We start from the raw sequence: 14,347 nt of genomic DNA on the forward strand, positions 1-14,347 counted from the left end.
GAGAAATTTATAAAGAAATGAGATTTCATTGGCTTGCTGTTCTGCAGGCTGTAAAGGAGGTATGGTGCTGGCATCTTCTGGGCTTCTGGTGAGGCCTCAGGGAGATTATTGTCATGGCAGAAGGTGAAGCAGGAGCAGGCACCTCACATGGTGCGATCAGGAGCAAGGGATGAATGTTGGTGACCTACTGTTTTAAACAACCAGGTCTTGCGAACACTCACTCACCATCATGAGGACAGCACCAAGACATTCATGAGGGATATACCCCCGACCCAAACACCTTCAACCAGCCCCCACCTCCAACATTGGAGATTACATTTCTACATAAGATTTGGAGGGGACAATCACCTAAACTATATTAGATGGAGTAAGATGCATTAAGTGCTATAAACCAAGAGCTCAGGATTAGCAATCATAGAGTTGTTCTATTCTCTTTTTTACACAATCTGCAAATGCACACACACACACACAGCCATAAACATAAGTACATACATACACATGCCATGTACACCAAAGGGCTTTCAGCAAAACAAATGTTTATTCATTTAGGATAGGCTTTGTAAAATTTTGTCCAGGCTTCATTCAATTATTCAAAAAGCTAGTTGACATTGCCAACCTTTACACAGTTCTAGAAGTTTAGTTAAATGTTAAAAAATCTTAAATTAATGACTCCATTTGCCCATATCAGATAAAAAATTCATAGGTTAATTGATTAATATAAAACCACAATGATATAAACAGGCATATTTCTCTGAATCATTGAGTTCCTCATCTGTGAAAAAGGATGAATATTCATCTCATAGAATGCTGTGAGAATTAAATCAATGTGCTATGCAAAATGTTTGATAGACATGCAGGCAGATATTGCTAATATAGTATTATAAAATTTTTTTTTGTAAGCTAAGGAAAGTATTTTGAATCTATTGACCTTAAGTGCCTAAATTAATGTTTGACCATGTCAACCAATATGAGTTGCTTTGGGGTGAGATCATTTAATTTTCAACTCACATATTTGAGATCAGTGTGACAATTGATCATAACTGCATGATATTCTCCTAGGAAGCATTGTAAGGTGTTGTGGCATATACTCCTACTTAGCTATTCATCTTCATTGATCAAATTCTGATTTTGTTCTGTGTGGCACTGTTCTCAGAAAAAAAAATCTGAATTATCAGCCTCTCTTGCTGCTATGGATACCCTTGGGATAGATTACTTGTGGACAGAAATTTTCTAGGGAGGACCAGCAGATAATTTGCTTTTCCGATACAGACATTTTCTCCTTCACCCACCAATTTTCCTTCCTTCAGTCTGCAAAGTGGACATGGCTAGAGTTAGGTCAGCCATTGTTCTCTGAGAAAGTAGCATACATCAGAAAAGGCCAAATGCTGTAAATGTTAGAGCAGAAAGATAAAAAGGTTATCAGGACACTGGTGCTAACAAGCAGCCCACACCAGACCTGTGCCCTATGCCTAGTACTATGTGAGTAAAAACTAACCAATTTTAATTAAGCCATTTAAAACTGGATTTTCCTTACAAGAACAAAGTAGAATCCTTATTAACAGAGGTTCTTTTGCTCCTATAAACTTTCATTGCATTGTTCCTAACACTCAGAATTATTTAAAATAATTTAACATAATTTGTTAACAAATTTTTTAACATTTTTAAATTTGTTTTAACATATTTAACAAAATAATGTTAAAATAATTTAACATTATTATTTAAAATAATAATGTTGCAACTGAAGTTATTTTGTCTCTCAAATAAGATTTAAATTATGGTCACTAAAATTTCGTATTTAAAAATCAATATTTATTATCTGTTTTGTCATAGAAAAAAAATCTATCCTGAGCACTGAAATTAGTCTTCCAAAATAAAGCCTTCCAGAGATGGATACTGAGAATTAATTAATAGCATCATATTTAATAGATGGTAAGTCTCAAGATACTTCTAGTACATTGAAATGATTTTCTGGTCTGTTTTTTTCCTGTGAACTCACCTGTTTTCAACTCTGTGTCCACTTTCTGTTTATGAAGCAGTTCTCCAACCTTTACAACATTTGATCTTCCCACATTCCTTTATAATAATAATATATAAATCTTATTATAATCACTTTTTTATAGTGCCAAATCAAAAGTTACACCAAAGTTAATCAAGCAGGAAATATTTCACTAAAGGCTGTTACAATAGGGGAGAGAATCTAGAACTCAATCTGATTCAATGTTGATGAAATAAAAGTTGTAGAGTTTTTAAGAGCTGGGGTCAGAGAGATCGTAGACTATCTGTGTTTGCTAACTGGCTTTCCCCAGAGGAAAAGTAAACTCTCCTATCTTCATAACAAGAGGTAGTTTTACAACTTGTAGCAAGACTCCAGCTGAAGTTAGGCTCTACCCTCCCACAGAAACTGGGACTTAGGGGGCCTATTTCCTTGATAATTACATTGCAAAAGGATGATTCCCAGGTACATGAGAAATATATTTCTGGATATCAAAACTGGCAAGAAGCTTTAAAGATTTACATATCAAAAGAGAAAGGATTTTACAATTACAAGTTCTCTGAAGTAAATGCTCTTAAGAAAAAGGAGGTCAGGTTCCTAGAGTCCTAAGGAAGCCTGTCTAAAGTTTAATCAACCTGAGAGGAATGTTAAGGTCTTCTTGGTCAATGAAAGAAGGAGATAAGTATTTGAACTTTTCTTTTTTTTCTTCCCCCCCACACAATCAGAAACAGTAAGTTAGGGTTGAAACACAGGTCTTTAGACGCTGTAATCTATCCTAGCTCAACTTTTCTGCCTGCCTTTCTTCTTCCTATTTCCCCTCCTGCTTTGCTCTACTGATTCTGCATTTTCTTATTCATTTTATTCTATGATATAATTTCTCTTTCTAGAAATATGTTTTAATTTTTAAAACAAAATAAAATTTTCCAATGATTCCCAAGTTAAGAAATAACCACTAGTAATATACTGGTATGTATATTTCCAGATGTTTTCAATAAATATAGTTATATAAAGGTACTTATGCTTGCATATGCATATAGCTATAAAATATACCAATATACTGCATAAGTTACACATGTATAAAAGTATAGTGATCAACCTGTATAAAAAGTTCACATGTTAAGGGTTTGTAAAGCTTGATGAATTACTTTTACCCCTTTCCCAGTATTGACAAAATCTTAAAACCTTAAAATAAACTATAACTTGTACGCTTTTCTATGTTTTAATGCTTGCATACATGAGACCTTTACATGTATTTTAAACTTCACAATATATTATAATGAATTACTATGTTTTACTGTCAATACTCATTTATCGTGGCTCACATATTTACCTTTCCAGAGTTCCCGTTTGTATTTCTATGCTTCCAAATGGATTAATTTTTCTCCTTTTTTAAGATTTGTTTAATGCAGGAATGTTGAAAGCAAATTTCCATAGCTTTTGTTCATTTGAAATATCTTTATTTTACTTTTACTTTTGAAACTGATGTTTGGAGATATTTTGTTTCAGCAATTTAAATATGCTGCTCTTAACTTGTGGATTTCATTGTTTCTATAGGAAAGTCATTTGTTAGATTTAGTGTTGCTCCTTTAAAAAGAACTTGTCTTTTCTTACTCTGCTTCATTTTAGAGTATATTATTACTATTATTATAATATATGAGGCAGTGTCTCACTCTGTCACTCAGGCAGGAGTGCAGTGATGCAATCTCAGCTCACTGCAACTTCCACCTCCTGGGTTCAAGAGATTCTTGTGCTGCAGCCGCCCGAGTAGCTGGGATTACAGGCATTTGCCACCATGCCCAGCTAATTTTTGTATTTTTAGTAGAGACGGGGTTTCACCATGTTGGACAGGCTGGTCTTGAACTCCTGGCCTCAAGTAGTTGGCCCGCCATGGACTCTCGAAGTGCCGGGATTACAGGAGTGAGCCACTGAGCCCGGCCTAGAGTATATTCTTTATCTATGTCTTTCAATGGTTTTATTCAAATGTTTCTACTTGTAGTGTTGCTTGCATTTATCCTTCTTTGGGATATACATTCACAGAGTTTCTGGAATCTATGTTGCAAAGTTTTTAGCCATGTATCTATCAATATTACTTCTGCCTCAATTTTGTTTCTGTCTTCTCTTTCAAGGCCTCCAATTATGCATATATCAATGCTATTTTTCTTTTTTTCTCATTGTTCTTCAGATCATCAGTTTTATGTTTTGTAGTGCCTAGTCTGCTGTTGCAGCTATCCATTCAATTCTTAATTCTGAGATATATATATATATAGATATATAGACATATAAACACACATATTTAAAGTTACATATATATTCTTAATTCTGAGATATATGTATGTATATATACACACACATATTTAAAGTTACATATATAGTTAGCTTATTTATATATATGTGATATTTTCTGTCCTAGAATGACTACTTAATTCTTTTATATAAATTCAAATTATCTGATAAACTTCATCATTAGTCTACAATGCTTGTGCTTTTACTCTATTTTTTAAAACTTAATAACCATATTTTAAATGCCTTGCCTTTTAAATTTGAAGCCTGAATTATCTGTGTGTTAACTTCTATTCACTGGTAGTTTTATTGATTATTTGTTACATGCTTTTATGTCTTTGCGCATCTAGTTATTTTAGATGTTATTTTAGGAATTCACATAGAAGCCATAAGATGGGATTCTGATCACTAAATTAATTATCAAGCTGAGTCATAGCTAGGTTTAAGTTTTGTAAGTCTCAGTCTAGTTTAGCTAACTTACGTGCCTAGGGCCTGGCCTTGTTAGAATTTGGGCTACAAGTTTGGTGGGTCTCTACCTCTTTAGTGCTAAAAGATTATGGGAAATTACACTGTGATCTTCAGAGTTTTTAAAATTAGGTTCTTTATTGTAACTCCATATGCAGTTATACAACTTGTTAAATAACTTGAGGAGAGATCAACTGTGTATTCAAGGTAGTTTTCTTCTCTCCGAGAGGTCCTTTCTTTTTTTGCTTCCTTCAAATATGTTCATCTAAAATTTCCAGCTACCTGTTAGAATCCCTTATCTTCAGTCTCCTGTGTCATCCTAGAACTCAGAAAGTATTCCTCAGAGGTAACTGGCCATGTACATTATATGCAACATGATGTTAATTAGTTATTCTAGTTCAGCGGTTCTCAGCTATAGCTATGTTGCCCCCAGAGGGACAATTAATAATGTCCAGAGATATTTTTATTTTTCACACTGTGAGTATAGAATCCAGCATTTGCTAATTAGCATCATACAAGGCACAGAACATCCTGTAAAACAGATAATAAATATTTATTTATTTATTTATTTATTTATTTATTTACCCAAGATAGACAAACACTGAGCATTGTGGAAGACAGGGGACAGCTGGCTATTATCAACTCACCTTGGAACAGTTATGTTCTCTCTAAAATTTTCATGTAGCTAGTCTTCATTGCTTCCATAGCCCTCTGATGCTTTCAAATAATATTTTATTTCATAACTTCTATCATTTTCTATTCTTGGAGGAAATTCTTCTCTGCAATAGCATGCTGTATTATACCCTGGTGTGCCAAAGGGTCACGGCTATACACCACAGTGCCACACAATACAAATGTAATACAGGTTTATTTTGGATAGAACTTGCATAATTGAAGTGAAGTGTATGAAGTTCTCCGCAGATCTCATTGCCTCACAACTTAGGCTAATGAATGACAGTTGCATGTGCCATTGACCAACATTCTAGTATATAGTGATCCTGCACTTTCATGGTCTAAATCTTTATATAGATGGGAAGCCAGAAAAATCACTCAAACCACTTAAAAATATAAGAACGATTAGAGAAGAGGTGTTGATAGACAAGAAAGCCTCCACCATCTAAGAGGTAGATTAGCCTTTTTCCTGCATTGATCTAACTCAAACCTGGTTGAGCCAGCTGTCAGCAATGTTACCACAATGGGATGGGATAAACTTCAATGATGTTATTCTACTATCAATCTATTCTCTTCTCCTAGATGGCTCATTAAATTGGGTCTATTTTACATCAGCTATAGTGGTTTCTGCAGTAATGTCTAGGAGGCCTTGTGCACCTTCTGAGCTCTGTATCTTTACTTTAAGAAAGCTGTCAATCTCTGCTTGTATCTGCCATCTGCATTATTGCTAGCAAACATTTTTAGAAGCAATCTGGGCAATTGTAGGGTTCCCCTGATTAGTTTCTCTTCTTTTAAACATCACTGACTTCCATTTTCTGCTGCCCGTTGTCTAGAAACCTTTGTTTTATATATTTGTCCTGATTTTGAGTTGATTAAAATGGGAGGATAAATCCATTACTCATAACTTCATCATGACCTATTGTGGAAGTGTCTGATACAATGTCTTTGAAGCCGTAACTCTGTTACCCTTTTTTCCCTTAAGGTCTTCCTTTTATTTTATGTATAAGTTTTAGGTATTTTAAAATCAATTTTAATAATTTGTGTTTTATTTTTAAAATGTCTAAATTTTTGTGTTGTTCAAACATGTTGAACTAATGCTGACAGAGAATGTCAAAACCAGTCACTCTGAGCATGTGTGTAACACAGATGTCACTCAGAAGCCAATTTGACTCATTCCTGCCAATAATTTGATGCCCAACTTTCACTCACACAACTTGAAGATGCAATTGGAGGGAAAAAAATCACATGATTATATCAATAGGTTTGGGATAACTATTTGACAAAATCAAATCCATCCATGATAAAAACTCTCAGCAAACTAGGAATGGGGAGAACTTCTTCAACTTGATAACACACATCTACAAATCATGTACACATAACACCATACATAATGGTGAGAAAGTTGAAGCTTTCTAGCTAAGATCAGAAACAAGACAAGAATGTCCCCTCTTACCACAATATTTCAACATCATCTAGATATCCTCGCTATCACCATAAGAGAATAAAAGGCAATAAATATATACAGATTGGGGAAGAAGAAATAAAACTTTGTTCACAGATACATGATCATCTATGTATAAAATCTGAAAGTATTGACCATAAAAATTCCTGGAACTAACAAGAAATTATTATAACAAGGTTTCAGGATACAAGGTTAGTGTAAAAAGTCAATCACCTTCCTATATATCAGTAATAAGACAAGGATCTTTGAAATTAAAAACACAATACCATTTGCATTACACACCCAAAAATAATGAAATGCTTAGGTATACATCTCTCTGTTATCTATCTATCTAACTGTATCATCTATCTATCAGACCTATGTGAGAAAAACTATGAAACTCTGATAAGTTATAAAAGAAGAACTAAAGAAGTCGAGAGATATTCCATGATCATGGATAGAAAGACTAAATATTGCCAAGATATCAGCTCTTTTCAAATTAATCTATAGATTCAATGCCTTCCCAATCAAAATCATAGCAAGTTATTTTGTGGCTATTGGCAAACTGACTATAAAATTTATATGTTAGGACAAAGATCCAGATTAACCAACTCAATATTAAAGAAAAAGAACAAAGGTGAAGGATTGATACTACCCAACTTTAAGACTTGTTATAAAGCTACAGTAATCATGACACTGTGGTGTTTTCAAAATAATAGACATTTAGAACCATGGAACAGAATAAAGAACCCGCAAATAGATTTACGTAGATATAATGAACAGATCTTTGACAAAGAAGCAAAGGCACTATAGTGGAAAAAAGCTTTTTCTGAAAATGGTGCTGGGACAACTGAACTTCCACATGCATGAAATGAACCTAGACACAGATTTATATCTTCACAAAAATTAACTCCAAATAGGACATACACCTAAATGTAGAACACAAAACTATAAAACTCCTAGAAGATACCATAGGAAAAGGCTAGATGACCTTGAGCTAGGTGGTGACATTTTAGATACAACAAAAAAGTCATGATCTAAGAAAGAAATAATCGATAACCTAAACTTCATGACAATTAAACACTTCTATTTTGCAAAAAGTCAAGACAATGACAAAGACAAGATTCAGACTAGAAGAATATATTTGCAAAAGACATATCTGATAAAGGATTGTTGGCTGTAATATACAAAGAAGCCTTAAAGCTCATCAATAAGAAAACAACCTGATTTAAAAAATAAGCAAAAGCCCTGAACAGACATGCAACGGACTGAATGTTTGAACCCTCCCCACTGTCCCCAAATCTGCATGTTGAAAACCTAACCTGAATGTGATGGTATTTGAGGCAGGGCCTTTGTTGTGAGGGCCGAGCCTTCGTGAATAGGATTAGTACACTTAAGAGGCCAGAAAGCTGCATAGCTTTCTTTCCCCTATGATAAGATACAATGAAAAGTCAGCAGCCTGCAACCTAGAAAAGGGCCCTCATGAAAGCTGAACCATGCTGGCACTCTAAGATGCTTGAGCTTCCAGCCTCAAGATCTGTGAGAAATAAATTTCTGTTATCTACAAGTTACCGTGCCTAGAGTCCTTTATTACAGAGTCCTGAACTGACTATATATACCTCACCTCACCAAAGATGATATACAGATGGCAAGTAAGGATACGAAAAGATGTTCGACGTCACATGTCATTAGAGAATTTCAAATTAAAATGACAATAAGATACCGCTACCCATACGATTGAATGGTCGAAATCCAAAACACTGGCAATACCAAATGCTGACAAGGATGTGGAGCAACAGGAACTGCAGGTAGGAATGTGAAATGGTACCGCTACTTTGGAAGTCATTTTGGCAGTTTCTTATAAAGCTAAACATACTCTTACCACATGATCCAGCAACAACACTCCTTGATATTTACCCAAATGCACTGAAAACATATGTCCATGCAAAAACCTGCACACGAGTGTTTATAGCAGCTTTTTTCAGAACTGCCAAAACTTGCGAGTAACCAAATGCCCTTTAGTGGGTGAACAGATACGTAAATGTGGTTCATTCAAACAATGGAACATTATTTGGTGCTTAAAAAAGCGGGGGAGAAAGCTATCAAACCACGAAAATACCCGGAGGAAACTAAAGTGCATATTATTAAGAGAAAGCACTTTATTTGAACAGGACTGTATGATTCCAACGATATAACATTTAGGAAAAGACAAAACTATGAAGAAAGTAAAAACTATATATCAATGGTTGCCAGAGGTTAAAGGGAGGGGGGATGAGTAGACAGAACACAGAGGATTTTCAGGGCAATTAAACTATTCGGTATCATGCAACAATAGTGGATATATGTCCTGATACATTTGTTAAAATCCATAGAATGTACAACACCAAAAGTGAACACTAACATAAACTAGGGACTTTGGGTAATAACGATGTGTCAATGTAGCTTCATTGATTGTGAGAAATGGATCACTATGGAAAGGTATGTCATAGAGGGGAGGTTGTGTATGTGTGGGGCAGGAGGTTATGTGGAATCTCCCCGTATTATTATTATTATTATTATTTTTGAATCTTGCTTTGAAACTAACACTGCTTTACAAATAAATTTTGTTAATTAAAAAATAACCCCACATGCAAATTTTAAAAACACTAGAACTCTTTTAGAACTGCTTTATTTTAGATTGTGCTTTTTAATTTCCACTGTTAAAGCAGTATTTCATACTTTAGGGTAGAATTTAATTGTTTTTAATAGCTGAGAGCCTTTTAGATTTTAGTCTGGTAAATACGGTGAGCAATCACATTGAGAAAATCTCTTTAGAGTTTAAAATTAGGTATGAATTTAAAGTAATTGAGATTGATTTTCTTAATTCACCAGTAAAATGTCTCTGAAAGTGTTTCCAAAAGAGGCCTCCTCAGATTTTGAGCAATTTCAGCAAAATGAGATTAAGTGTCTCTTAAGTCAATATTTTGCAGGACAACTGGCATATACATGTATTGCATTGTGTTATTTCTAAGAATTGTGTCAAATTTCAGGCTTTACCCTATAAAGTATAAAGTACTAATACCAAAAATTTATTTGGATTTTTGTTATTTTTTTTCTAGATAATTGTTTCATAGATATAGCCCAAGTGATACATGTGTATACAAATAAGTATGTGTATATGCAAATATATAGAAAACTCCCATAAATCTAATATGCATATGTTTGAGGTAAGAATATATTGACAGAGGAGTTTTATTCCCCTAAATTAGAACAATCACTTACACATCACAAAGCTTAGAGCCTTTGAAATGCTACATTTGTGTTTTATTATTCCATTTGTTACCCAAAACTAGATATTTTAGAAAATGCTTGTTCTATCGTTTTTGTAACCATAAATCCTCTAGCAAATTATCTTGTCATTATAAATTTTATTTTAAATGATTCTCTGAAAGACACATGACTTCTTAGTTAGAAAAAGAAAAAGTACTTGCAGTTTGTTTAAATTCACTTATCGAGAAATTGTAGGTTCATCTCTCTATGGAAACTTTTACAAAAGGAAGGGCAACAGAATGTCATTTAAGCTATATTTTGCTAAATGTATATTTGTTGGAGTATTGAGGGCAAAGGTTTTCCTTATCTGAATTAATCATTGTTTAAACTCTCTTTTATTTTAAGCCTCACTATCACACTCAGATCTAAGAAGAAAAAAATCAAAATATTTAGGAGATTATGAAGCCTAACATTATTAAAACTAACTTCCCCAGGTCAACTTTCAATTTTTTTTCCTATTCCCGTTTGTAACTCCATTTAGATACTGATACACTCATATCTTGTGTAACATCTTGCTGTAAGAACTTGAAAACTTTCCCCCTCTGGGTTAAGGATTCTTCTTTCATTATTTCTGCATGGGTTGTTCCATGGACAATGTTTTATAGATGCTCATCACCTCAAGTTCATTGTTGTTAAGCCCTAAGTATTTCTTGCAGTTTCATTTTTTCTGAATATTAAGTCTTTGTTTGCAATATGTAATGGTCAGTGATCACATGTTGCCTGAGTATACTACTAATCATAGGCAGGAAACTGAATTTCTCCCTTTCCTGTTAAGTCCACAATTATTCTATATGTGTTCCCTTTTGCACTGATACTATGTAGAGACATGTTTGAATTTTTTTAATTATGTAGACATTTATTGAAAGTGAGTATAATGATGAATATATCTCTCTCCTTACTTTTACTTTTCCCCTTTATCTTCCACATTTAATAGTCCACAAATTCCTGTCATTTTTACTTCTTAAGTGTGCCTTAAATCATTTTCTTGAGTCGAGTCTCATTGTTACTAAGTTAGTTTAATGTTATATAATTTTCACTTCAAGAATTGCAAGTCTTTCCCCTCTATCCCTTCTAGTTGATTCACAATATTGTGACTAGAATTATATTTCTGAAACACAATTCCAATCTGTCATTATTCTAATTAAAATTCTTTGAATAGTTGTCATGGCAGACAGAACAAAATTTCAAACCCAAAGTAAGATACCCAAGGCATTTTACTCTCTTGTCACAAAATAATATTTCATACTTAATTCCATGGGTGCCTTTTCACATTTGTCACAATAAGATTTAGGAGAGTTTACTATGTGTCTCCTCTAGACACAGTGAATGATCAGTGACTTCAGATATTATTTTCTCTTAGAAGGATGTCATGAATTTTTGTACATATGTCTGTCAAGTGCTTACACTTTATACTGTGAACATTTATTTACGTGGTGGTTTTTCTTAGAGATACGTTGGTCTTTCTAATTCTGAATGGCCTAGCTTCATAAACAATACTTTAGAAGTGCTATTTCCTTCAATTTATGCAAAATATCAGATATTTATGTCATTCATAATATTCTCTGAGATCTCAACCTGTGTTTGCAATGTCTAATAAACCAGAGACACCTCAAAATTGCATATCAAATGAGCTTGTGCTGAGTGGGCATCTTAAACTCTATCCTTCAGACTAAAACTGTTCAATAATGAATAAATTATTATCTATGTGTATTTTTAAAGATGCTATTAGTATCATCAGTATCAATATCAAACATACATAAAATGCCTGCCTTATTTGTACAAGATACTGTGATTTAGTTGAATTAGTCTGAATATCTAGATTTATTGTAGTTTAAATTGGCAAGACATCTGGGACATTTAATTCTACTTGCATATTCATCTGCCAAATTCAAATATGAAAAGTGAATTTCACCTCTGTACTTGTAATTCAATGTCTGCAGAGTCGCATTCATGAATGTCCAAAAAGACAAATTGTTCTCATCTATCAAATAGGATTTTGGCAAGGAACTGGTAGTAAAACCAAAAGACCTGCCAAAGTGTAGACTTTGCAGAACTTTATGCCTTCTTCAGACTTTACTGTAATCTGTCACCATGTGTCATTTTGAATGTGTTTCCTTTAAAACTGGCTTGGATTCATATTGGCAGGTAAAACATAACATTTATTATTGTTATACTTTATATTTTATTAAAATGAGTGAGAAATTCAAAAGATGCACCAGTGTTGAGGATTCATTTTCAAAGGTGAAACTTATTAGGAATGTTCTTTGGCCCAGGGCTTAATCAGTGCGCTTATATCCCAAACGCTATTATGCGTGGGTTGGGAGCTTATTGGTAGGCTTTGTCAATAATTAGCCAACTATCCAGCTAATACTCTTGAGTCCTGAATATTCTATATAACAAAGATAACTAATTTTGTATGCTTTATATCATTTAATATTCACAACATCTTAGAGGAGATACAATATAGTTGTGAAAACCTCACTTTTTATGCTTTCAAATAGAGACATATACTTAATTATTTATCTTAGTAAATCAAAAACTTGGACCAAATCTTGATAGAGTTTTTCTTCCTTAACATTATAGTTGGTATGATGGTTGATATTGAGTGTCAACTTGATTGGATGAAAGGATGCAAATTATAGTTCCTGGGTGTGTCGGTGAGGGTGTTGCGAAAGGAGATTAACATTTGAGTTAGTGGACTGGGAGAGGCAGACCCACCCTCGATCTGGGTGGGGACCATCTAATCAGCCGCCAGCACAGCTAGAAAAAAGCAGACAGGAGAGGATGGAACTGCAGGCCTGCTGAGTCTTTGGCCTTCATCTTTCTCCCGTGCTGGATGCTTCCTGACCTCGAACATCAGACTCCAAGTTCTTCAGCTTTTGGACTGTTTGCCAGAGGCTGTCAGGCCTTCGGCCACAGACTGAAAGGCTGCAGTGTCCGCTTCCCTACTTATGAGATTTTGGGACTTGAACTGGCTTCCTGGCTCCTCAGCTCACAAACGGCCTATTGTGGAACTTCATTTTGCCATCCCGTGAGTCAATACTCCTTAATAAACTCCCTCTCATATACACATCTGGCATATTTGTTCTGTCCCTCTAAAGAACCTGACTAATACAGTTGGTATGTTCTAAGTCTTAGTTGTACTGAACTAAATAAATGATTGATAATAAAAGGGAAGAAGCAAACATAAGCCACAGGCTTTCACTATGTTAGAGCGAGTATTAATGTATCACGAGTACTTAGAGTTTTGAATTACACATCCCAATACAAGTATCCAACAGCTAATTACATGATTTCAGAATGCACTTAGGAAGTATGTAGTTGTCAGCAGTAATTTCTAAATAAGGTGCATAGTTAGGAAGACAAATCCCTTAATTCGTGAAGCTTTTAGTTTAGGAATTACCAAATTTAGTTGATGGAGATGATGGAGATGTACAGGACAAAATGTCAGCAAAAACAGCAGGGTGTATATTTAATGCCACGGTTAAGTAGCAGCTGATCAGGCCTTGGCTACTGAGTACATGCTTTCAAACCGGTGAGTATTCTGGGCACTCAGCTAATCTTTGGTGTCCAAAAAACAATATTTATAACACACAGAACCTTTCCAATTTTCATCTAATGTGTGTACATAAATGTAAGCCCAAACTGGTCCTCGTCCTACTTAAATCTATTTTGCGTGACTTCCCATGTGCAAATATAGCAAGGCACAAAAAATTTGTTTGCTTCTTGATTGAGAGAAGCTGACTGCCTCTCTTGGGAAGTACTCTTGTTCATTGTAGAAGAGGAAAGGCTTCGGCTGCAAAAGAACCGGCTGCATGATTTTTTCTGACATTTTGTCTTTATATAACTTTTGTTCTAAAATAATCATTAAAGTTATAGTACAATTTTAGATTGAGTAAAAAATGGTGAAGCTACTACAGAGATCTCATGTACTTCTTACTCAATACACACCATTATTATTAACACCTTCAATTAGCATGGATACATTTAGTAAAATTAATGAACCGATATTGATATATTACCATAAACTTAAGTTCATATTTTATTCTCATTCCCTTAGTTTTCACCTAATGTTCTTTTTCTATTCCAGAATGTCATGCAGGATACCACATTACATTTAGCCATCTCTCCTGAGGCCCTCCTTAGGTGTGACAGTTTCTCAGACTGTCCTTGTTTTTGAAGCCCTT

The 14,347-nt window shown here is 34.3% G+C and overlaps 1 long non-coding RNA gene across 1 annotated transcript in view; it reads left to right on the top strand.

The window, feature by feature from the left end:
* Positions 1-14,347, top strand: part of LOC107985178 (uncharacterized) — a 125,185-nt gene that overhangs the window by 12,318 nt on the left and 98,520 nt on the right. The window contains exon 2 of the long non-coding RNA XR_001753480.1: positions 1,831-1,929. This is a non-coding gene — a long non-coding RNA (uncharacterized LOC107985178). The remainder of the gene's footprint in view (positions 1-1,830; positions 1,930-14,347) is intronic.

This window comes from Homo sapiens, chromosome 18 (genome assembly GCF_000001405.40).
Source record: "Homo sapiens chromosome 18, GRCh38.p14 Primary Assembly".
In the NCBI taxonomy this organism is placed as follows: Eukaryota; Metazoa; Chordata; class Mammalia; order Primates; family Hominidae; genus Homo; species Homo sapiens.